The 23,711-nt window shown below is 48.1% G+C and overlaps 2 protein-coding genes across 28 annotated transcripts in view, besides 2 other annotated features; one reads left to right on the top strand and one right to left on the bottom strand.

Annotated features, from left to right (window-relative positions):
• The window catches only part of BCL2L13 (BCL2 like 13), a 101,979-nt gene extending 94,029 nt beyond the window's left edge, over positions 1-7,950 (top strand). For all 21 annotated transcript variants that reach the window (NR_073068.1, NR_073069.1, XM_047441286.1 and 18 more), the window contains one exon: positions 3,772-7,950. Coding sequence is in view for 19 of the 21 variants with exons in the window: in XM_047441286.1 (XP_047297242.1) it covers positions 3,772-4,629 (858 nt within the window). In the remaining 2 variants the exon portion in view is untranslated. The remainder of the gene's footprint in view (positions 1-3,771) is intronic.
• A 3,282-nt stretch (positions 7,951-11,232) lies between these two features.
• BID (BH3 interacting domain death agonist) overlaps positions 11,233-23,711 on the bottom strand; it is a 40,528-nt gene continuing 28,049 nt past the window's right edge. For 3 of the 7 annotated variants that reach the window (NM_001244570.1, NM_001244569.1, NM_001244572.1), the window contains 3 exons: positions 16,444-16,583; positions 15,112-15,324; positions 11,235-12,686 (listed from right to left, as the gene is read on the bottom strand). In NM_001244570.1, coding sequence (NP_001231499.1) covers positions 12,675-12,686; positions 15,112-15,324; positions 16,444-16,518 — 300 coding nt within the window. In that variant the 5' untranslated portion in view covers positions 16,519-16,583 and the 3' untranslated portion in view covers positions 11,235-12,674. Of the gene's footprint in view, positions 12,687-15,111; positions 15,325-16,443; positions 16,584-20,897; positions 21,109-23,711 lie in introns of all 7 variants that reach the window. The other 4 variants (NM_001196.4, NM_197966.3, NM_001244567.1 and 1 more) reach the window with 2 other exon arrangements.
• Positions 19,518-19,812: a silencer, noted in NCBI's record as "tiled region #7571; K562 Repressive DNase unmatched - State 25:Art". NCBI's record gives its function as "represses a minimal TATA promoter and a strong SV40 promoter by Sharpr-MPRA in K562 cells {active_cell/tissue: K562}" and the evidence as "EXISTENCE:reporter gene assay evidence [ECO:0000049][PMID:27701403]".
• Positions 21,390-22,010: an enhancer, noted in NCBI's record as "H3K27ac-H3K4me1 hESC enhancer chr22:18227061-18227681 (GRCh37/hg19 assembly coordinates)". NCBI's record gives its function as "activates a minimal SCP1, AML or CMV promoter by ChIP-STARR-seq in naive H9 embryonic stem cells {active_cell/tissue: H9 hESC(naive)}" and the evidence as "EXISTENCE:reporter gene assay evidence [ECO:0000049][PMID:30033119]".

Raw genomic sequence — 23,711 nt, forward strand, 5'->3', positions numbered from 1 at the left:
TATGGGCTTCCTTCCACATTGGACTTAAAAATGTACTTCTTTTTTAATAGTAGTTAAATAGTTTGGATGAACCATATATATTTTTAAACTTTCCTGAGGGTATTGAAGACTGTTTGAAATCCTTCTGTATTAAAAATGATGCTAATGAAAATCCTTGCAAAATGTGTAAGCTTGAGACCTGATTACAGCTTCCGGTTAGGATCTCCATGTCTTTGCTTACTTAGCTGAACCAAACCCTCCCTGTGTCTCTCTCTATCTGTCCCTCTCCCTCTCTCCCTCTCTCTTTCTCCCTCTCCTGAATGCATCCTCTTCTGGACCATTCCAGTGGTCCTTACCCTGAGGCTGGGGCAAGCTGTCATCCTCAAAAGCTGGGAGGCCTAGAAGCCCTCTCTTCCAAGCCAATGGGCCCTCCAATTTTCCTAATTGTATACTGCAGTACTGTAATTTTTAAAGACAGATTTTACTTTACAGTTTTGTGTTATCTCTGCTTAGAAGAGATGGAGGAGGAAGGAAAAGTTTGTAAATTACCTTCTTTAGCCAAGGGAGGGTATTGTTTCCATTTGTTTTCACTTCCTTATTGTCCCATCCAGTTGGTATTTTAGAATAGCTCTTTGTCCTACCACCATACCACCAAAAACAACAATTAAAATGACAACACAAACAATAGCAAGTTATGAAATAGCATAACTTACTGATTACTTCCTATGTACAAAGTACTAATCTAAGCACTATAAATACTATACCTCGGGCCGGGCGCGGTGTCTCACGCCTGTAATCCCAGCACTTTGGGAGGCCGAGGTAGGTGGATCACGAGGTCAAGAGATTGAGACCATCCTGGCCAACATGGTGAAACCCCGTCTCTACTAAAAATACAAGTATTAGCTGGGCATGGTGGCGTGCACCTGTAGTTCCAGCTACTCGGGAGGCTGAGGCAGGAGAATCACTTGAACCTGGGAGACGGAGGTTGCAGTGAGCCAAGATTGCACCACTGCACTCCAGCCTGATGACAGAGTGAGACTCCGTCTCAAAAAAAAAACAAAAAAAAACAAAAAACAAACTATACCTCATTTTAAAAATGAACTCAAGTCCAGGTGTGGTGGCTCACACCTATAATCTCAGCACTTTGGGACACTGAGGTGGGAGAATTGCTTGAAGCCAGGAGTTTGAGACCAGCCTGGGCAACATAGAGAGACCCGTCTCTACAAAAAATAAAAAAACTTAGCTGAGTGCAGTGGCCCATGCTGTTATTCCCAGCTACTCAGGAGGCTGAGGCTAGAGGATCCCTTGGGACCAGAAGGTTGAGGCTGCAGTGAGCTGTGATCCTGCCACTGCACTTCAGCCTGTGTGACAGAGCGAGACCCCAACTCTAAAAATACAACAAAAACAATCTTATCTAGTCAGTCATCCCCATTTTATTTGTGAAGAAATTGAAGTCTAAAAGTTTAAGCAAGGTATCCAGATTCGCACAGCTGGTACACAGTTGGAGCTGGGATACAAGCCAGTTGTTTTTGACTGTGAATTTTGTGGTCATACTGTATTATTTTAACCCCCTGATTATTCCATACTCATAGAACATCCTTGATGCTTACCAGGGCCTCTGAAGTGGCTGGAGCAAGGGTCGAGGTAGAAAGTGGTGCAGTATGATGCCGACATCATGGTCGTGTGATTTATTTGTATTTCTTATTTCCTTTTTTATGGGGCTGATAGACTTTTGATTTATGTTAGATCCTTGATGTATGTAGAAAGTTTTTGGTTTTGGTTGAAGAATGAAATTATCCTACTTCAGTTGAATAGCAACCATAATCATAAAATGAAGTAGAAATTAATTTGCTTTACATATTCCATTCAGATTCCCTGTAGCTTTTACGAGTGTTGTCTAGCCTTTGTATGACAATTTCTGTACATCTCTGTGACATTCCATTCCATTGGTTCTCTTCCTGTCCTTTTATTGCGCCTTACCCTCTGGGTTGGCCTAGCCCCTTGTGCATACACCTGTCATAAAGCTTTCTGTATCATATTGAAGTTAGTTATTCATATGTCAGGCTTCACAGCTGCCTAGTAAATTCTGTAAGAATAGACCCATTCTTTCTCGTAGCCCTTGTGCCTGACACAACCCTGATAAGCAGTAGGCACACGGTGGCCTGTTATTAATAGACATGGACACAAGGCCTGTGCTGTAGGGCTTTATTGCTTTCACTCAGACTTCCTGACAAAAGAAGCAAGAGTCTCCGTGTCTGCAGCATTTCTCCATTCTGTCTCTGCCATCAGAGGAATTTTAAAGCAAAGCTCTGATTATAATTTTGTACCTCAGAGATGTCAGTGACAAACCATCGCCTGTTGGATAAAGTCCATATTTCTTAGCTGTCATTCAGGTTCCTCCATGGTCCTGTCCTCACTGACCTTCTATTCTTCATGGGCACTCTGCATTAATTAAACAGGGCTCTGTCCTTATCTTCTTTTTTTTCTGTCTCTGTGCTTTTGCCTGCATTGTGTCTTCTGTGTACCCTTCGCCTGCCAAAATCTTACCCATTCTTCAGATGTCTGATAGAAATGCTAGTCCCTCCGTGAGGCTTTCTGTGATCTCCCTGCTTTCTCTGACCTCTACCCAAAGAGGTCTTTTTCCCATCTGAACTTTTTTTCTTCTTCTTCTAAGGAAAGCAACACTGCCATATGAACTCTTAATGGCACTTGGACTATGACATAGCATTATTTGTATACCCTACTAAGTGATAAATTCCTTGAGCACAAGGTCTTGCCTTTGTTTTCTCTGCTGTTTTGCATTAATTACTGCATTGAACATACAGGGTGAGTATCCCTTATCCAAAGTGCTTGGGATCAGAAGTGTTTTGGATTTTAATTTTTTTTTTTTTGATTTTGGAATGTTTGTGTGTATGTGATGAGATGTCTTGGGGATGGGAAAGCCCAAACATGACATTTACTTCTTTTTGTATGCACCTTATACATATAGCGTGAAGGTAATTTTATATAATATTAATATATTAATTTACAAATATACAATATTTATAACATAAATATATATAATATTTTGTGTGCATGAAGCAGATTTTTGACTGTGTTTTGCCTGCAACCCACCACATGAGGTCAAGTGTGGAATTTTCCACTTGTGATGTCATTTCAGCACTCAAAAAGTTTCGGATTTTGGGCCGGGCACAGTGGCTCACGCCTGTAATCCCAGCACTTTTGGGAGGCCAAGGCGGGTGGATCACTGAAGGTCAGGAGTTCCAGACCAGCCTGGCCAACATGGTGAAACCCCATCTCTACTAACAATACAAAAGTTAACTGGGCGTGGTGGCAGGTGCCTATAATTGCAGCTACTGGGAAGGCCGAAGCAGGAGAATCGCTTGAACCTGGGACGCGGAGGTTGCAGTGAGCTGAGATTGTGCCACTGCACTCTAGCCTGGGAGACAGAGCAAGACTCCATCTTAAAAAAAAAAAAAAAAAAACCTCAGATTTTGGATCATTTCAGATTTCAGGTTTTCAGATTAGGATGCTCTCAGCCTGTGTGTGAATTACACTGAATGTATATTAACTTAGGATTTTTTAGTTTCAAGGAGACTGCTCAGAAGACTGTCAAAAATTCTTTCTCTGCATTGGCCTACAAATACATGCATTCCATTCGGAAACTATGTAGGTTTAAACAGTGTTTCATTCCTAGAACTTCAGTTTAGGAAAGAATTTGCTTTCCAGATTGATGTTTATGTTTTAAATAGTTACCATTCTTTATTATTGACGCTTGTCCTTCGTTTCTAGGGCACTGTGTTTAGTCTTGAGTCAGAGGAGGAGGAATACCCTGGAATCACTGCAGAAGATAGCAATGACATTTACATCCTGCCCAGCGACAACTCTGGACAAGTCAGTCCCCCAGAGTCTCCAACTGTGACCACTTCCTGGCAGTCTGAGAGCTTACCTGTGTCACTGTCAGCTAGCCAGAGTTGGCACACAGAAAGCCTGCCAGTGTCACTAGGCCCTGAGTCCTGGCAGCAGATTGCAATGGATCCTGAAGAAGTGAAAAGCTTAGACAGCAACGGAGCTGGAGAGAAGAGTGAGAACAACTCCTCTAATTCTGACATTGTGCACGTGGAGAAAGAAGAGGTGCCCGAGGGCATGGAAGAGGCTGCTGTGGCTTCTGTGGTCTTGCCAGCGCGGGAGCTGCAAGAGGCACTTCCTGAAGCCCCAGCTCCCTTGCTTCCACATATCACTGCCACCTCCCTGCTGGGGACAAGGGAACCTGACACAGAAGTGATCACAGTTGAGAAATCCAGCCCTGCTACATCTCTGTTTGTAGAACTTGATGAAGAAGAGGTGAAAGCAGCAACAACTGAACCTACTGAAGTGGAGGAGGTGGTCCCCGCACTGGAACCCACAGAAACGCTGCTGAGTGAGAAGGAGATAAACGCAAGGGAAGAGAGCCTTGTGGAAGAGCTGTCCCCTGCCAGCGAGAAGAAGCCCGTGCCGCCGTCTGAGGGCAAGTCTAGACTGTCCCCCGCCGGTGAGATGAAGCCCATGCCGCTGTCTGAGGGCAAGTCTATACTGCTGTTTGGAGGGGCTGCTGCTGTTGCCATCCTGGCAGTGGCCATCGGGGTAGCCCTGGCTCTGAGAAAGAAATAGGAGGCTTTTCAGAAGAGAAAGACAGAAGGATGTAAGGTTGGAGTTGTATTGGCTGGAATTTGAACCTCCAGCAGCTGTCTGGACATTTGTGGAACACTCTGGGATAATTGGGGACTTCTGCTCAACATGGCAGTGGCATGTTAGGCATGTTAGGGCTTGAGGTGGGGCATTCACATTCATCTGACTGTAAATCCCAAGGGCCTCCGCTCATGCTAAATTGAGAATCTTAGGGGTAAAGCACCCCCTCCAGGACCGGGTTTCTCAGCCTTGGCACTAGTGCTGTTCTGACCATTCTCTGTGTTGGGGCTGTCCTGTGTGTGGTGGGCTCCACCCACTAGATGCCAGTGGCACCCCCTCCCAGAGATGACAAACGAAAATGTCTCTAGACATTGCCAAATGTCCCGTGTGAACATCCCCTATTGAGACCCACTGCTTTAGCGAGAGAGGGTTTACTTAGGAAGAATTGGGATAGAAATTCCCAGCTGAGAGAACTTAGCTGTGGGCTCCTCAGCTACTGACTTCTTAGCTCTTAATCCCCTTAGAATTTCATCTTTCTCGATGAGCAGGCTCTGCACCCACTCTTTTTTTGCCCCCCGCCCTCATCCTGGAGTGTGAGGGTGCTCGCCCGTACTCTCAGCTGCCTCTCAGGGACTGCACTGTTCCTCTTCACCCCCAGGTTCCTGCTAAGATCCCACGGGCGAGGGCTTGCTCTGGACTCAGTCTGTCAAGTCCCCGAAGCTTCCTGCAGCTCCACCTTGTAAAAATGCTGCCTTTGGGAATCTTCGAAATATGTACACAGAGAAAATCACATGAAGGAGACCTGGGGTCCCCACTTGTGAGTGCAACTGCAAGTAACTCTGGCTAGAGAGACACATGTGTCTTGTGTCAAGGCAGGAGGATAACCTGGATGACCTTCTGAGGTCTCTTCAGCCCTTTTCGCTAGTGGTCACCCACCACCATGGTTACTTGCCAGCAACATCTCTATTGCTGGATGGTCCCTGTCTATAACCTTGGGCTAGTATATTTTTTCCAATATGGGACCTTAGTCTTACTACTGATGAGTTCTATGGGTCTCTTGCTAGGGGGTAAGGATTTTTATTCTTGGGCTTATAGAGCCAGTTAGATCATAATTCTTATGAAATAGAGAGTGTCCTAAATATCACTGAAATAAAAAGTAGGAAAAAGAAGCTTGAATTTTAAGACTGAGGCTGCTCTGCAGATTCTAGTTTGGCTTTCAGAGTTCAAGAGTGGTGGCATCTTCACCTGAATTCTTCAATGCCAGGGTAATAAACCAAAATAGTCCTAATCAGTATATGCTAGTTGAGCATCGGCATAATTTTCTTTCCTCTGGCTGATCCCAGCCCTAAAGGAAGGGTAGACCCGTGTCTTTCCAGCCCTAAAGGAAGGGTAGACCCGTGTCTTTCCAGCCCTAAAGGAAGGGCAGACCCGTGTCTTTCCATGCCCGAGGGCCACGACGTCACTATGCAGGGCACACGTGGCTTGGTTTAAAAAGGTCATCTTAGATTTATCTTAGTAAATGTAATAAATTATTTTTTAGATCTTGAAATTTATAATAAAAATACTTTACCTACCCTGATCACCAAAACCTGATGTTTTAAATGTGCTTTCTTTTTGAAATTTATGTTTTCAAATAAAATCTCCCTAAAGCAATATTTAAAAATTGGTCAAAACAAGGTCTGGGAGTATGTTTGTGTGTCTTTCCAGCTTTATCCTGTAGCGTGTCTTTGTTCTGTGTTTTAGTGTCCCATTTAGGGAGTGATGTTTTAAGGGTTTTTGTGTACTTGGATTAAGTAATTAGAGGTGAGTGGGGGGAATGGGATTATTGAGGCAATGATTTTTTTCTTCATGGGCTCTGATAGTTGCATTGATTGTTCTGTATTCTAATTGCTATATTTGTGTTTGCATAGGTGAAGAGCAAACTGGTGCGTTATCTTGATTTTTAAAAAGTAATAAATCCTATGAGTTCCAGTATTAACACTTGCCAGTTCTGGATCCTCACACCCATTGGCTGAGCGCATTCAAGCACCAATCGAAGCCAGGTTCATCTCTGAGCTGCTGAAAGGAGGTGTGAGGCTTAGGAAATTGGAGCCTGTGTTGCCCACGAAAGGAAAGAATAAGGAAGAAATGTGGTATGGAAGCGGCTACTTGCTGCTTTATTTTCCCACCTGTTAGACATTCCTCCACAGTGATTTGGCCAGTTGTATTTCACGGTAATGGAACTAGATAGTGTTTTCCATTGGCTTTCTCTGGTAGCTCTTGGTCAGCTCCTGAGTTAACAGGATGTGGCAGCATCCCTGTTCTTCCTTCACGTCCTCACCCTCTGCCTCCAGCAGTGGAAGGGAACAGCCCTCATGAGGACTGCTTCCTACTGCAGCTCCTGCTTTTTGCTCATACATTTAAAAAACTATTTCTCAAGCTTCCCCTCCTTTTGGGGGGAGGAGCTGATAGTAGGAGGCCATTCCTTCCACCTCCAACTTATACCCTCTAAGTCTAAGGTGAAGGAAAGATTCAGAATAAATCCAACTTGTTTATAGAAAAGTTCTTGTTAGTCCTTAGACCTCATCTCAACTGCTCTGTTGAAGGTAATGATTTATTGGGGGGAAAAAACAACGCCAATTTATCCTCTCTGTATTAAAGTGATAATTCTGGGCCCACAGAAATCAGTCAGTACCTGCGGTGTGCCTTAAGGGGACTCTCATGATCATCATTCCCTTCTAGAGAACATTCTAGATGAAGAAATGCAACTGTTGACCTTCTGGTTCACCCATCTCCCCCTCGAGGCATTCTTGATACCCCTTCTCACCTGCATTTCTGTCCCAGGGATACCAGATGCAGCCACTACCTAACTAGGCTTGTCCTGGGGGAGTGAGCCGTGAACCTGGAGACATGGCTTTGACCCACAGCTACTGTTCATTTCCTCAGGCTTTGCGCTGATTCCCTCAATAATATGACAGTAAGGCAAGTAGTCTCCTTGCCTTTCTCCTGAAAGGTATGAGATGTGGACATTTCAGTGTTTGAATTATTTTAAGAGATGTTTTATAGAAATAAAACGTTTTGTAGCTAAGAATTTTCCCTTTCTCTTAATTTCTTACATCTTTCCACACAAACTTATCTTTCCAAGAATTTGAGGTGGTGATCATACCCATCAAGACGGCCTTGTAGGCTATCTGATTGCTAACAGACACGACCTAGAGCTTCTGCCCAAATTCCCACACAAGCATTATCTCGTTTAACATCTCAGCGACATACTGGATACCAGAATAATGTTTCCTCTTCTCTGGTGCACCAAAACCTGCCCTTAGTGATAATCTCTCAATTATGACATTCATTTGAGTTTAGGGTGTATAATTTTTCCTAAAAAAAATTCATGTCGATAATTATATTTTAGCAAATACTAGTTGAGCATTTATAACATGCCAGAGACGGTTCTAGTGCTCTCACATACCTTATTTCACCTTCACAGTTCTAATAGCTGTTTGTATTCCTTTTATTCCCATATTACAGAATGAAGAACCTAATCAGAGTTTGTTAGTTTTTCTTTTTCCTTTTTTTTTTTTTTTTTTTTTTTTGAGACAGAGCCTTGCTCTGTCGCCCAGGCTGGAGTGCAGTGGCACAATCTCGGCTCACTGCAAGCTCCGCTTCCCGGGCTCACGCCATTCTCCTGCCTCAGCCTCCCAAGTAGCTGGGACTACAGGCGCCCGCCACCATACCCGGCTGCTTTTTTTGTATTTTTAGTAGAGACAGGGTCTCTACTATGTTAGCCAGGATGGGCTCGATCTCCTGACCTCGTGATCCACCCGCCTTGGCCTCCCAAAGTGCTGGGATTACAGGCGTGAGCCACCGTGCCCGGCCCAGAGTTAGTTTTTCTAACGTCCTCAAGCATAGGCGAGGCAAGGCAATGATTTTGCCGGTTTTTATCATTTTCCTGGCACTGCAAAGCAGTATTGGCAGGTCCCCTGCAAACAGTTGCGCCAGTTGTTTACTGCATAAGGACTGACTGGGGACAAATTCCGACGTGCAGCCTGTGCTCTGCTCACCATGCTGTGGGCTCTGGGAGAAGCGAAGTATTTTTCTAATTTGTACAAAGGCACCATATAGGCTCACTTAAACATTAAGCATGTTCTACTACAAAAAAACAAGAGTGAGGGTTAGGTCCAGGACTGGTCTCAGCTTCCAATTATGTAGCTGTTTTCCCTGTAGACATTGAGTGAGATGCTTTGTGGTTACAGAATTCACAGTCATTGCCGATGAGCTTTCATTAGCTTTCTTGATTAAATATTTTTGCTTGTAGACAAGGTTAGGCAATCTGTCCCAGCAGTTATCACAAAGTGCTAAATGAGGGGGGTGAAGACAGCACCACGATGCATTTCTTGGTCTTTTTCTGTTTGTTCGAGTTCGTCCCTTCTCCCCTGTGTATGCCATCATAAGGGTGGGGCTGTGGAGTGAAGTAGGGGAATACCTGGAAGCATTGCTTGGCCTCTGGACAGACAAAGAGGTTGGGGACTTAGGAGGGTTGACCAGGTATGGCCACAAGTACGTCAGCTCCTGGAGGATCTTCCCAGTGAAAAGCCTCCTACTACATTCCACAGCACTTCATGGTAATTATAACCTTGGCTAGATAATACCTGCTGTATGGTACAGAATAGTGACATTCAATTACCTCATATATAAAGAGAGCTCCATGGAGAGCTGGAAAGTGCATGCCACTACAATATTAACACATCCCATCTTCCCTTTCTTTTTGCAAGGCTGTTGAATTTCAGCCCGGCATCCCCACACACTAACACCATCAGGTCTTCCACATTTGATGGTTACACCACAGGAGCCCACACCAGACTGCTGCTTCCCTGTGAGCTCAGAGTGAAATTGTTCTCAGGGGTATTTGCAAGGCCTTGTCATCAGTTAAAGACTAGCAGCTGACTCCAGGTGATTCTACCCCGCTGTCACCTCTCCAAAGGGGAAATTGAATAGTGGTATTGCTCACTGTGGTGAGTGTTCTTTGCACCACCAGAAGAAACTGGTTAATGAATGTACTATTTAGAAGAAAAGTTTTGACATTTAAAGATTACTAGTTGTTCCCTTTCCCCAGGAAAAGAAGGTCAAAGTACAGTCTTCCCTGTTGCAGAGTTTGGAATAACTCTGTTTGCCCTGATGCTTTCCAGCAGGAGAACTGTATTATGTAGAGGGGTCCTTGGCCAGCATCAAAGGAAAAAAATTATTTTTTTCCTAGACCTGTATTTTTCCTATTACAGTCTTCCATTTATTTCTTCCTCCAGATTAAAAGTGCCTCTTCCTACCTCATTCCTTAATTAAGGTCAATTTAGTGTTGGCTCAAATGCTTTCATCTCAAAAATACCGGAATTGAATGGTAATTTGGATAATTAAGTTATCGTGCATTTTAAGCAGCATGTGTTTCCTTTTTCCGTGTGAGTTCCATGAGCCTCTGCACTGCCGCTCTGCACTGCTGAACTGATCACTGTGGGTCATTCTGGCTCCTCTTCCTTCCTGTCATCTACCTTTTGGCCAATCTACTCTTCATCAGGGGAAAGGAACAAACTTCAAATCTGTGAGTTATTCTTTCTGTCAGAAGCAACGTGCTAGAGAGAATACATGGGATTTGAAGATAATCAGTGGACTCATCTTTCTATCCACATGGTAACTATGCCCTTGACAGGTGGTATCATTTCACATCATCAATTGTCTTTGTTAAGTCCATACTTAATTGGTTTGACTCCAGGTTTTGAAAACAAGATCGTAACATTCAAAGGACTCTATATTCCAATTCTCAGCTAGCACAACTAATAAAGTTGCTGGACAGTAAAACTAGGCGCCAGTGCTGTGATCCTTTAAGGAAGCCTTGAGTATCGCAGCAGTTAATGCTGGGTCCTAAGAGGAGAGGTCAGGAATGATTTGACCTTCTGAATGCACCAAATGTCCCACGTGACTTTCAGATACACCAAGCATCTTTTCAAGGAGAAAGCTTTTGATGTTTAACAAAAGAATTTCCATCACTTAATTCAAATATTTTTAAAACAGAAAGGAAAACACATTCTCTGAATTAAAGTCACCTTTGAATCATATCCACAAGGATTGTGTTACAGGGCAAAATCCACCAACTGCCAGGATATGCCCGAGTCACCATGGCTGGGAAGTGCTCAAGACTGGAACATTTGTGTTTGAGACAATGGAATCTTTTTATAATGTTGGCTTTGGGAGAAGGGGTGACGGTCTTGCTTTACAACCAAGACTATCTCAGACTTGGTCTGGAAGAATTTACACTAAGACCTGTTATAAAATGGTGGCCTACTGTATGAATTCAAGTGAAACAGAAGCAGGTGAAGATGCTGTGGAAGAGTCAGTGTGTGAGAGAGGTGGTCCAGAGTCACTTGCTGCTTAAGAACACTTTCCCATTAGTTCCGGGTGATGACTGCATACAGCTCCTTTGGGAAGAAAATGCCTCCCCCAGTGAGAATCTGATTATAATGGCTGACGTATGGATGGATGTGTAGGCGCAGTGTGGTTCAACCTGTTTCCATTGTGGTTGGAAAACTTTTTTAAAAGTCCACTCCAAAACATGAAAAGTCGTAGTGTTAGGAAGATTTATTTCCAAACAGTGGCCTCCACACTGCGCGGCAGCACTTCTTTTTAGTATTTGTAAGCTTTTGCCCACTTTCAATTGAGCCAGCCCTAGCGTGGTATGTATTGCATGCTGAACAATATAGAGTTTGTTTTTCCTTTCTGATGATTTTAAACTCTTAAAGAACAGGAAAGCATCTGGTAAGAAGAAATCATGAGTCCGTCAGTGCCCTTACTCATATGCGTCTCCAGTGGCCTCATGTTGTGGTCACAGGAGTTTCCTGTTCACAGCAATGTGTGTGATATGGACCCAGCATCCACTGTCGTGCTTTTAAACTGATTCCTGGGACATAGCTTACCACTGGAACAGCAGACCAGTGTTGCACTGTTTCTAAAGCTAAGCTTTTCCTTATTTATTTTGGTACTACCTAAGTGACTTGGTTTTGACTGTCCCTAAGAGAGGGAACCACTTTGCTGAATTTTTAAAAAGTCCAACTGCTCTTTCATCTTTTATGCTTAGAAACCTGTTCTCTCCAGATGCACTTCTGAGGCATGGATGAGCTGAGCGTATGGCTAGAAATTGGAAGTTTACAGCTATTACCAGGGGGCTAACTCCCGGGGCATCGCAGTAGCTTCTGGCACCCGTGGCTTCATGTCTTTAGCAAAGTCTTGATGTCATGGAAAGAGAAAAAGTGTATGCAGTTAGTTACCTGATTTTGTAAACAAACAGTGGCTGACCTGGGCCCTTAAATCACCTTCACACCTTTTAGAACCACAAGTGGTTCTTTTTGACTCCAACAAAGGAAACGAAGTTGAAAAAGTCAAGCCCCTGTGTACTGGGGCCGGACTTCCCATCATTTGAGTGCAGCACTTTAGTTCAGAATCTCTGTGCCATGTGGTTTTTTAAACAGGAAGATTGTTGGTTCCTTAGTATTAAGATAGATAGTCCCTATTTTGAGTGGAATTTTTCATTTGTAAGGGGTATGTTCCTTCTCTGATTCTTGCTTTCCTCAAACAGGATACTGCCTGCTGTAAGACCATCCTCTATGGTTGTACTTTAATAAACAGTAATTTTTTTTTACCAAAAAAATTGTATTTTGTTTCTACTTCCTTGAAACCTGCTTTCCAATTTAATTTTTAAGTGGGAACCTGCACAGTGGAAATAAAGGCACCGTGTGTAGATTTACAGATGTGCAGATTCATGTGTGGATGATATGAAGGCCATTCAAATACGTGTAAATGGACATTTTCATTCAAGTATATTAATGTAGATATTTTAAAGTGGGTTATAAGTTTAACATTGTCTTTAAAATAGAAGTCACAGCTATCTTCCAGCCTGTCTTCTCTAGGAACGCTGTTGACATGCCAGGGCTCCGTCTACACTGGAAGCAGCTATACAGCTGTGACCACATCGAGCTTTAGCCAGTCACACTTCTGGAACTGTCCGTTCAGTCCATCCCCTAGAGCAAGAAAGGAGAAAAAGCCAGAATCAGCTAGGCTCATTCACAAACCAGGCTCCAGAGCTCTGTGCCACAGTAGAGCAAAGCTGGGGTTTATGCAAAAACATGTTCTCCAGACCCCTGAAGTCCTATCCGTGCATCCTACTTTTTGCTACATGGGGGCAACTGCAAAAACAGGCCGTTCAGGCGGTGAGGTGGGTATTCACATCTCCAAGGCACTGACGGTGTCAGGAGGCCCCTGCTGGGTCAGAGGAATCACGATTCTGCCTCAGCCCTCAGTCTCTGGTAAGCTGTCCATACAGACTGCTGCACACGTCTTGCCCACCCTTTCCCCCTTTACATGGGTGTTGGTAAAAGCTGTCCAGGAATGGTCTCAGGCTTACCTCCTTCCAACAATTCAGCTGGGTTTAATGCCTGATTTAAGATTTATATTCATTCTCCTGTTTTTAAAATGCTTGTATAACTGAAGACCACAGCATATAAGGAATGTTTTCTTATGAGTTCTCAGTAGAGGATTAGATGCTATTTTACTTAAAAACCAAAGCCTGAAGTAATGCTTCTGACATGTCATAAAATCCCAAACATTAGGCCGGGCGCAGTGGCTCACGCCTGTAATCCCAGCACTTTGGGAGGCCGAGGTGGGCGGATCACCTGAGGTTGGGAGTTCGAGACCAGCCTAACATGGGAGAAACCTCATCTCTACTAAAAATACAAAATTAGCCGGTCATGGTGGTGTGTGCCTGTAATCCCAGCTTCTTGGGGGGCTGAGGCAGGAGAATCGCTTGAACCTGGGAGGCAGAGGTTGTGGTGAGCTGAGATCGTGCCATTGCACTCCAGCCTGGGCAACAAGAGCAAAATTCTGTCTCAAAAAAAAAAAAAAAAAAAATTCCCAAACATTCGCTAATATTTTTAAATTTACAAATAAGACACATCCACTTAATTTCCATTTGGGTCTATGAAACAGAAGCACCAGATTTTGCTACATGGGGGCAGCTGCAAAAACTGGCCCTTCTTGGGCAGCATTGTGAACACTGTATGTTTGTTTTTAGAGACAGGTCTTGTTTTTGTTCAGGCTGGAGTGCAGTGGCACAATCAGCTCACTGCAGCCTTGAACTCCTGGGCTCAAGCAAAGAGATCCTTCTGCCCCAGCCTCCTGAGGAGCTGCCTCAACCTCCATGACGGCGTGAACTACAGGCGTACGCCACCATGCTCAGCTAATTTTTTTTTTTTTTGAGACAGTCTTACCCCATCATCCAGGCTGGAGTGCAGTGGCGTGATTGCGGCTCACTGCAACCTCTGCCACCAGGGTTCAAGCGATTCTCCTGCCTTAGCCTCCTGAGTAGCTGGGATTACAGGCGCCCGCCACCACACCCAGCTAATTTTTTTTGTATTTTTAGTAGAAACGGGGTTTCACCATCTTGGCCAGGCTGGTCTTGAACTCCTGACTTCATGATCCGCCTGCCTTGGCCTCCCAAAGTGCTGGGATTACAGGCGTGAGCCACCGCGCCTGGCCCTCAGCTAATTATTTTTATAAATTTTTTAGAGACAGGGTCTCGCCATGTTGCTCAGTTTTGTCTCAAACTCCTGGCCTCAAGCAATCCCACTGCTTCTGCTTCCCAAATCGCTGGGATTACAGGCTTGAGCCACCATGCCCAGCCTTTAGACTGTGACTTGTAATACCTGGTTATGGGACAGATGTGCTCTGGAAAAGATTTCAGACAGTTCCCCCCCTTTTTTGACTACTCGTTTTGGTTCACATTACACCTTTTTTTTGAGATGGAGTCTTGCTCTGTCGCCCAGGCTAAAGTGCAGTGGTGCGATCTCAGTTCACTGCAACCTCTGCCTCCAGGGTTCAAGCAGTTCTCCTGCCTCAGCCTCCTGAGTAGCTGGGACTACAGGTGTGCGCCACCATGCCCGGCTAATTTTTGTATTTTAGTAGAGACGGGCTTTCACCCTGTTGGCCAGGGTGGTCTGGAACTCCTGACCTCAGGTGATCCACCTGCCTTGGCCTCCCAGAGCAGTGGGATCACAGGCATGAGCCACCGCACTGGCCACATTACACTTATTTTTTATGGCAAGGTGAGAGGTCTGAAAAGCTCATTGTGAGCCCTCCAGCCCCTTCCTTCCACTCTGTACCTGCTTGTGCCTTGAGGACCCCACCAGGAGTGTGACGTGAGCCTTTGCCACCCCTCTGAATGGAGCATGTCTCCAATAGTAAGCTGCTAAAGCTCCAAAGGACTCTGGGTGCTCTTCGTCACCTTTACACACAGCTTTCTAGCTCACAACAGCAAAACCAAACCCGAGCAGGACAGCCTGTAACCCTTGTGCTGGCATCAGAGGCAGGGGCCCCGCTGGGCTTCTCAACCTTCCAGAGAAAAGGGCATGGGCGGCAGGCAGGGAAGGAGCTGACCTCAAGGGTTCTTACATTTCTGGCTAAGCTCCTCACGTAGGTGCGTAGGTTCTGGTTAATAAAATTCACTGTTGTGTGAAAGACATCACGGAGCAAGGACGGCGTGTGACTGGCCACCTTCTTGGCCAGCAGCAGGGCCAGCACCAGCATGGTCTTCTCCTTCTCCATGTCTCTAGGGTAGGCCTGCAGCAGCTGCTCCAGGGCAGTGGCCAGGTCCCTGTTCCGGTCCTGCACAGAGGGGCACACAGAACCTGGTTTACTAATACTCTTCCCTCTCAAAGGAAAGACAGTCCCCAGTATGAAGAAGCACTTCAAAGTACTTATTAAGTATCCAGGGCTGCTGGGCGGAAAGAATGAGAAACAGTTGAGTTCTGAGAGGCAATGGAAAGGGAAGACTGCAATCACTCCCTGCAGGGGGCTCGGTAAGCAAACGCATGTGTGGTGAGCCCATGTGCCCACTGTTAGACGGTGATGGGATACAAGAAGCCTGGGTCATCCCTGCGCCCAAGGCACTTCGAGTCCAGAACTAGTGACCACCTGCGACGCCTTAGGCCCATTTTATTGGTGCAGACCTAGCTGAATGGACAGGAGGAAGGGGGTTCCTGGGGGACACTAGACAGACTACAAGGCTGGCAAGGACCGTCAGGCGGTCGGCGCACATGCAGAGTTACATGGGAGTGCGCCAGCCACTCCTGCGTTCTAGGCAGCTGCTGGGACATCACAGGCTGGCCCCACTGAACAGAAGCATGATTGGATTTCTAGGAGGTGAGGACGCCTGCATTTTCAGCTGGTAGAGTCGAAAAAGTGGAACTTTCTCTCCTCTCAGCTCCTACCGCTACAGGCCTGCATTTGGCAGTTGGGAGGATGTAGTTCTTTCCGCTAAGTGTTCTGGGGACACAGTGCCCCGGACCAATCTTGTATCCCCAACAGTGCCAAGCAGATGGTAGAGCTCAGAAAGTTGTGTGGATTCCAACCAAGGAGCTCAGCAGAGCAGCAGGCACCACTCCCAGGGCTTACGGTTCTCACTGGCACCATTATTAAACTCCCTACAACCAAAGGAAGCGTCTGTTTCTTCTGTTGGCCAAACATGCTTCGTTCATCTTTTAGAGGCTTTTACCCCTAAACTCTTTACTCTGATTTAAGGTTCAGGTTTCCTCGATGTCAACCAGCTGAAATCTTCTGCAAGGCAATGAACCATACCCTACGTCCAGTTACTTCGTCAGAGTTCTGGACCTGACAGTCACGAGTTGAGTGGCCTCACGGGACAGTGGGCTGCCTGGTGAGAGGCAGGGGACAGGCCCCCTTGGCTCACTTGCCCGCCCACGCGGTCCTCAGGCCCTCACTCACCTCCTCCGACCGGCTGGTGTTCCTGAGCTGCAGGGCCAGGCCGTTCACCAGGCCCGGAGGGATGCTACGGTCCATGCTGTCCCCGACCTGGGCGAGGTGCCTGGCAATATTCCGGATGATGTCTTCTTGACTTTCAGAATCTGTGTTCAGGCAGGGGCGGCAGAGACAGAGCAGACTCAGAAAATGTCCCTGATACCCTCTCCCACACCACCCTGCCCCGGGAAAGGACAGGTCCGCGATGGGACAAGGCCAGCCCCCACTGGGCACGTGCTCCACTCCACCAGGGCCACAGCGGGCGGGCTGAGTACCAGCGCTGAGCTGGGTTCTGGGCAGTGCCGGAGCTCAGGGCCTCGGCTGAGGCCCAGGCTCCCGCACACAGGCACCACGTCCCCACAGGCAGGGCCGGTGAAGCTGGGGCATCACGACCACGCCTGAGGTACAAGCCTGGCAGCGGCTTCATGGCTCACACCACACAACCCAACAGGGTTGGCCTTGGCCTGGGCAGCCGTTGGGGAAGGGGCTCTGTGGGCAGACGGCATCCCAGACCCACTTTTGCCCTCTCAAGCCTGAGAGCCCCCATTCCTCGCAGTCCCGTCTCAGGAAAACCCCAGTTGTCACTGGCACCGGCAAGGCCCTGGAGAATCTCCCCTGCCTTTCCAACCAGAGCTCTCCCCCTTGCCCCTCAGTCCTCCTCCTCTGGCGCACAGCCTCCGTGCTGCCCCTGCCCGAGTACCACTGTCGCAGCTCCATGAAGGCCACGCTCAACTGCCACGCTCCCTGCCGCCTCCGTTTCTTCCTCAGCACTTGCTGTGTTATTGTCTGACGCCCCTGCCAGAAGGTAAGCTCCCTAAGGGCTGTGATTTTTTTAATCTGTTTTGTCCACTGACAAATACCCAGCACTTAATACATGGCACTCAGTAGGTGCTCAATAAACAATGGCAGGGACCAGGTGTGGTCATGCATGCCTGTAATCCCAGTGCTTTGGGAGGCTGAGGACAGAAGATTGCTTAAGGCCAGGAGTTAGAGGATGCAGTGAGCCGTGATTGCACCAGCAACAAAGCAAGGCCCTGCCTCTACAAGAAACTTTTTTTTTTTTTTTGAGACGGAGTCTTGCTCTGTCACCCAGGCTGGAGTGCAGTGGCGCGATCTCGGCTCACTGCAACCTTCGCCTCCTGGGTTCAAGCAAGTCTCATGCTTCAGCCTCCTGAGTAGCTGGGATTACAGGCGCCCGCCACCACACCCGGCTAATTTTTGTATTTTAAGTAGAGACGGGTTTCACCATGTTGGTCAGGCTGGTCTCGAACTCCTGACCTTGTGATCCTCCTGCCTTGGCCTCCCAAAGTGCTGGGATTACAGGTGTGAGCCACTGTGCCCTGCCTCTACAAAAAACTTTTAAAGGGAGCCAGGTGTACCGCACGTACCTATAATCCCAGCTACACAGGAGGCTGAGGTGGGAGGACTCCTTGAGGCCAGGAATTCAAGGCTGCAGTGAGCTGTGATCATACCACTACACTCCAGCCTGGGCAACAGAGCAAGACCCCGTTTCTTAAAAAAAGTTTTAATTGCATGAATGAATGAATGGGCCCTGTACCTAGCTCCCAGTAAGTGTTCAATAGATGCCAGCTATTGTTATTTCTCCCATTAAATCTTCTATTTTTTCTGTGCTTGCAACTTCCCTCTGGCTTTTTTGGTTTTGGCTGCTGCTCCCACCCTCGGTCAGCTGTCAAATCTCACCTTATGTTGCAAATACAAGCGTTTTGCCTACCCTCTGCCATTGCCGCCACCCTGGTGGGGGTCCCCTTAGCTCTCATCTGATGATGACAGCCCCACTCCCTGCCGTCCAGTCTACTCGGCCACCTTCACAGCACAGACCTCAGAGCAGGGCAGGGTTGGGAGAAGTGACGTGCTAAGGAGTGGGCACGTTCTTAGAAGCTGTGCTCTGGGGGTTTCACGGCCTCCCTGGAGTCTGTCCATGGAACATGCAGTAAGGCTGCCACATCACTTCTCTTCAAAACCTCTCAAGTGCTCATCTCTGCTTAAGTGACAAGTCATGACCCAGCCTGAAAGTACGTCTGACTTAACTTCCACGCTTCCTAGGCAAACTCAACTACTCACTGTAGCTTTTTTTTTTCTTTTTTTTTTCAAGACATAGTCTCACTCTGTTCCCCAAGCTGGAGTGCAGTGGTACAATCTCAGCTCACTGCAACCTCCGCTTCCCGGGTTCAAACAATTCTCTACCTCAGCCTCCCAAGTAGCTGGGATTACAGGCACCCGCCACCCCGCCTGGCTAATTTTTATATATTTTTTTTAGTAGAGACGGGGTTTCACCATCTTGGCTAGGGTGGTCTTGAACTCCTGACCTCATGATCCACCTGCCTTGGCCTCCCAAAGTGCTGGGATTACAGGCGTGAACCACTGCACCCAGCCTCACTGTAGCATTTATAGCCGCTGGGCTTTTGCTTAAAAGATGGCCATTCCCTCTTCCCAGTTTCCAAGGAACCAAACATACCCAACCCCCAAGGCCCAGCTCAATTGGAGCTGCAGCCCCAAAGTTTTCCTGATTCCCTGCAGAGCAGAGCACCCAGCTCCTCCAGCACCTCATCACTCCCCCAGCACCGAATCTGTGCCTCGCTCGTTCCCGAAGCTTATCCACCTTGCTTCAGTTACGGACACGTCCTCTCTCCCTCTGGCCACCAGCCGAGTAGCAACAGGAATCTTTCCTGATCCGTCTGTGTCCAGCCGAGTGAACGGACTCACCAAAGAAACCCCGGCAGCCAGAGCCTCTACCTTGCCCCTCTTTCCAGGCTCGCCAGGGACTAGATTCACAGTCCCTGTCACCTGCAGGCTAAGTGAACTGCCATGATCACTTTTGCAGGTGCCACTTGAGTCAACCCCGGTTTCTCAGTCTAGAGGCAAAGGCCGGCATGGAGAAGAGCGAGAGAAAAACACCAGGGCAGACTGGGGCTACAGTCACCCCCACAGCAGTGCTGACAGCAGAGCTGTGCCTGTCCACTCCTGCCCTTCCTGGACCTTCCCAAAGGGATCTGGGGTTTCTCCTCAGTTCAGGGCGAGCCAGAAGATATGCTGGCTGGATTAGAAGGCAGAGACATTCTCAGACACCTCCCCCCACCCCCCACCCCCACCCCCACCCCGGTCTAGTGGGGAACTCCAGCCACGTCCTCAAGCACCTGATCTAAGACAGGCGGGAGGCAGAAGGCTGGGTCAGCTGTTGGTCTCCCCCACAGCCACCAGAGGGCAGTGCAACCCTTGAGCTTGGAAGGCCTGGACCAGGGTCCGGGGATCCCTGCAGGCTTTCAGGGCAGGGATTCTACCTGCGTCAGAATCCTCTGGGCAGTCTCCCGCCCTAAAACAGCCTGATGCAGGCAGCTGGAGTAGGGCCCAAGGCCTGCATTTGGAAAAGGTTTCTCGTGTAATTCCAATGTGCACACTACTGAAAGCCAGCGTCGCAGGGCTGGATCTGGAAGTGGGTGAGCCTCCACTCGCCCCCAGCCTCCACTCGGGACAGCCCCTGTCCATAGAAGCAGCCCCTTGGCAAAGGGGAGTGGAGCTGGAGGCTGGAGGAGAGTGCAGGGATCAGCAACAGGAAAGGTGAACAGTCTGGAAACCATGGTGACCTGGAGTCAGTGCCCTACAGTGGGAGGGCGGCTGAGGCCCACCTCAAGAAGGGGCCTGGCCCCATGTCCCAGTGGTAACATGGCCACAAGCTGTGTGATCTGGAGCTAGTCATTTACCCTTTGCTGGACCTGGGTTTCCTCACCTGGAAATGAGGTTCCAAATACTTCTGTGTTCTTGTATAGGTAATCACGGAGCATAATGTATGAAAGGAAATATGTCAGGTATAGACAGTGCAAAAGTCACTGTGAAACCAGTGGGCCTCAATCAATGGGACAGTCAGCCAGGCCTGCTTGGGGAGGCAGGGGCCGCACCGGTAGTGCCACCTGGGGGCTTTGCCCAGACCCAGCAATGCCCAGACCAACCAATCAGAATCTCTGGAGGTGAGATGCAGGCACCAGCATTTAAAGCTCCAGGTCCTTGAAATGATACAAGGCCAAGTGTGAGAACCCCTTGGGTTATATAATCCAGACAAGTGGTCTGCAATCTTTGTATCAGAATCACATTTGGAAAATTGGATAAAAACACCATTCTATGTTGGTCCAGACAAGGGACTCAAGACCAGTACATGAGATTCTGTCTCAACAGAAAGGAAGAACTTTCTAACAGAGTCACCCAAAAATGGTAGGCAGTGAGTTCAGCAGCACTGGAGGGAATCAAGTAGAGACCAGTCAAGTGATTAAGTGATACCAGCGTACGTGGCAGCTGAAACTGCAGAGGCAGAGTGATCCCGGGGGTCCCTTCCAGCCCTGAGGCTCCCTGAATGTTACTGGCGACAGAGAAGCCCAGCTTTGGGGAAGGAGGTGGGGCCGGCCGCCTACCTGCCTCTATTCTTCCCAAGCGGGAGTGGCTGCTGCGGTTGCCATCAGTCTGCAGCTCATCGTAGCCCTCCCACTGGGGAGCCAGCACTGGCAGCTCGTGGCCCAGTGCGTCCAGCTCTCTGCGGAAGCTGTTGTCAGAACAGCTTTGGAGGAAGCCAAACACCAGTAGGTTTGTGATGCACTCATCCCTGAGGCTGGAACCGTTGTTGACCTGAGGGGAAAGGGGAGTCAGGAAGCCGGGACTTCAGCCAGGCCAGAGGCCCCTCCTGCAAAGAGCTCCAGTTGCAGCTGGCCCAAAGAGCCTCACAGGTCCCAGAGAGCTGAGGGACCCTGTGGGCTGGAGGGCCCTGCAGGAGGTCTCAACAGGCAGAGGCAAGGTCTGCAGCCACAGCTTTAAGCAGCACTGCCCGTAGATGGCAGGGAGCGAGCCCCGACTCTGCAGAAAGGGATTCCTCTGCAGAGGAATCTGCTGGACCTCCTGAAACACGCGGCTGGGGAGCTTCCCACTAGGTGAGAAGGCCACAGGCTGTTCCGGGGAGGCGAGCGAGTGTCATGCGGGCATCATCCGCCATCCTGTGCTGGCACGCTTTCTTCAAGTTCCCCTGCAGGCTTCAGCAATCTGAGCCCACCTTTCCTGGCTGTGCTTCCAACAGGCGGAGCCTCTTTCCGCTCATCTCCTTCACGGGCTCAGGAGGGTATTGGGCAGATGGAAGATTTTCAGTAACTACTGCGGAGTGGTGACCACAGCTGGGCACCTGCCTTTGGCCAAGCTTGGTTTACTTTGGGTGGGTGTGTCCTTAATCCGAATCCCACAGGGAGTGGTGGCACTGGCTCCTGCTCTACCCAGAGGGGCTGGGCTCTTGGCCGGCAGCTCTCCAGCTCCCTGGGCAGCACTGGCAGCTGCAGCTTGGCCAGCATCTGTGCCGCCAGAGATGGCAGGGACTGTTCTTGGGGTACTGACTGTGTTTGGGGGCTGTATTCTTACAGGCAAAGGTGAGCCCTGCAGCTGGGTGTGCCCAGACCAGAGAAAGACCTAAGGTGGAAGAGAGAACAAAACACAAAGAAGGGCAGGGACGCTGAGATCTGCGCAGATTCACACAAAAAGACCTCCTGGGCTGCCAGAGAAGGGTGGGAGGGAAGATGGAAGTGTAGGCAGAAATTTATTTCTATTCTCTAAGTCCATAATATTTTTCATTAGAAAAACCAAAAACTTTTAGAGGACAGTTCTTACAGGGCAAATTGTTTTTTTGTTTTTGTTTTTGTTTTGAGATGGAGTCTCGCTCTGTCACCCAGGCTGGAGTGCAGTGGTGTGATCTCGGCTCACTACAACCTCCGCTTCCTGGGTTCAAATGATTCTCCCGCCTCAGCTTCCTGAGTAGCTGGGATTACAGGTGTGCATCACCACGCCCGGCTAATTTTTGTATTTTTAGTAGAGACGAGGTTTCACCATGTTGGTCAGGCTGGTCTCGAACTCCTGACCTCGTGATCCGCCCGCCCCCCAACTCCCCCCAACTCCTTGGCCTCTCAAAGTGCTGGGATTACAGGTGTGACCTACTGCACCCAGCAGCAAATTGTTTTAATGCTTTGCTAGGTGATGCCTGTAATCCCGGCACTCTGGGAGGCAGAGGCAGGAGGATCGTTTGAGCCCAGGAATTTGAGACCAGCCTGGCAACAAGATCCCCATCTCTACAAAAAATAAAAATTAGCCAAGGTGGCATGCACCTGCAGTCCCAGCTACTCATGAGACTGAGGCGGGAAGGTCACTTGAGCCCAGAAGTTTGAGGCTGCAATGAGCCATGATCACACCACTGCACTCCAACCTGGGTGACAAAGTGAAACCCTGTCTCAAAAAAGAAAAAAAAAATGCTTAAAATAAGGAGCTTGGCCGGGCGCGGTGGCTCACGCCTGTAATCCCAGCACTTTGGGAGGCCGAGGCGGGCGGATCACGAAGTCAGGAGTTTGAGACCAGCCTGGCCAACATGATGAAACCTTGTCTCTACTAAAAATACAAAAATTAGCCGGGCCTGGTGGCGGGCGTCTGTAGTCCCAGCTACTTGGGAGGCTGAGGCAGGAGAATCGCTTGAACCCGGGAGGTGGAGGTTGCAATGAGCCGAGATCGCGCCATTGCACTCCAGCCTGGGGGACGAGAGCCAGACTCCGTCTCAAAACAAACAAACAAACAACAAAAATAAATAAATAAATAAATAAAAATAAGGAGCTTGTGTATTGCTGCAGCCATAAAAAAGAATAAAATCATGTCCTCTGCAGCAACACGGATGGAGCTAGAGGCCATTACCCTAAGTGAACTAACTCAGAAACAGAAAATCAAATACTGACTGTTCTCACTTATAAGTGGGAGCTAAACAATGGGTGCCCATGGACACGAAGATGGAGAGAGCAGGCACCGGGCACTTTACAGTAGGGAGGCGGGGGCGGGGGAGCGCAGAAAGAGTCCCTCTCCATGCGATACCGGAAGCCCAGTCCCCACCAGTGCACAATATTCCCATGTGACAAACATGTACACGTGCCCCTGAATCTAAAATAAAATAAAATAAGGTGCTTGTGTATTGCTATTCAGCCTTTACTTCTCCAAAGTTGTTTCTGAAGAGAGGAAAAACTGTATGCAAAATTCCACTGCATCAATTCCTAACAATTCTTGTACGGAGCAGCCGCATGGCACAAGACAGCTTACAAACAGGATGTGCTTCATTCCTGCCTCAAGCGACAGTCCTGGTGACACAGTTAGTGCTGGGCTAAGCTGTGTCACCCAAAAAGAAAAGCGCAAGTCCTAACCCCAAGTACCTGTCAATGTGA

Source organism: Homo sapiens, chromosome 22 (assembly GCF_000001405.40).
Source record: "Homo sapiens chromosome 22, GRCh38.p14 Primary Assembly".
NCBI classification, from domain to species: domain Eukaryota; kingdom Metazoa; phylum Chordata; class Mammalia; order Primates; family Hominidae; genus Homo; species Homo sapiens.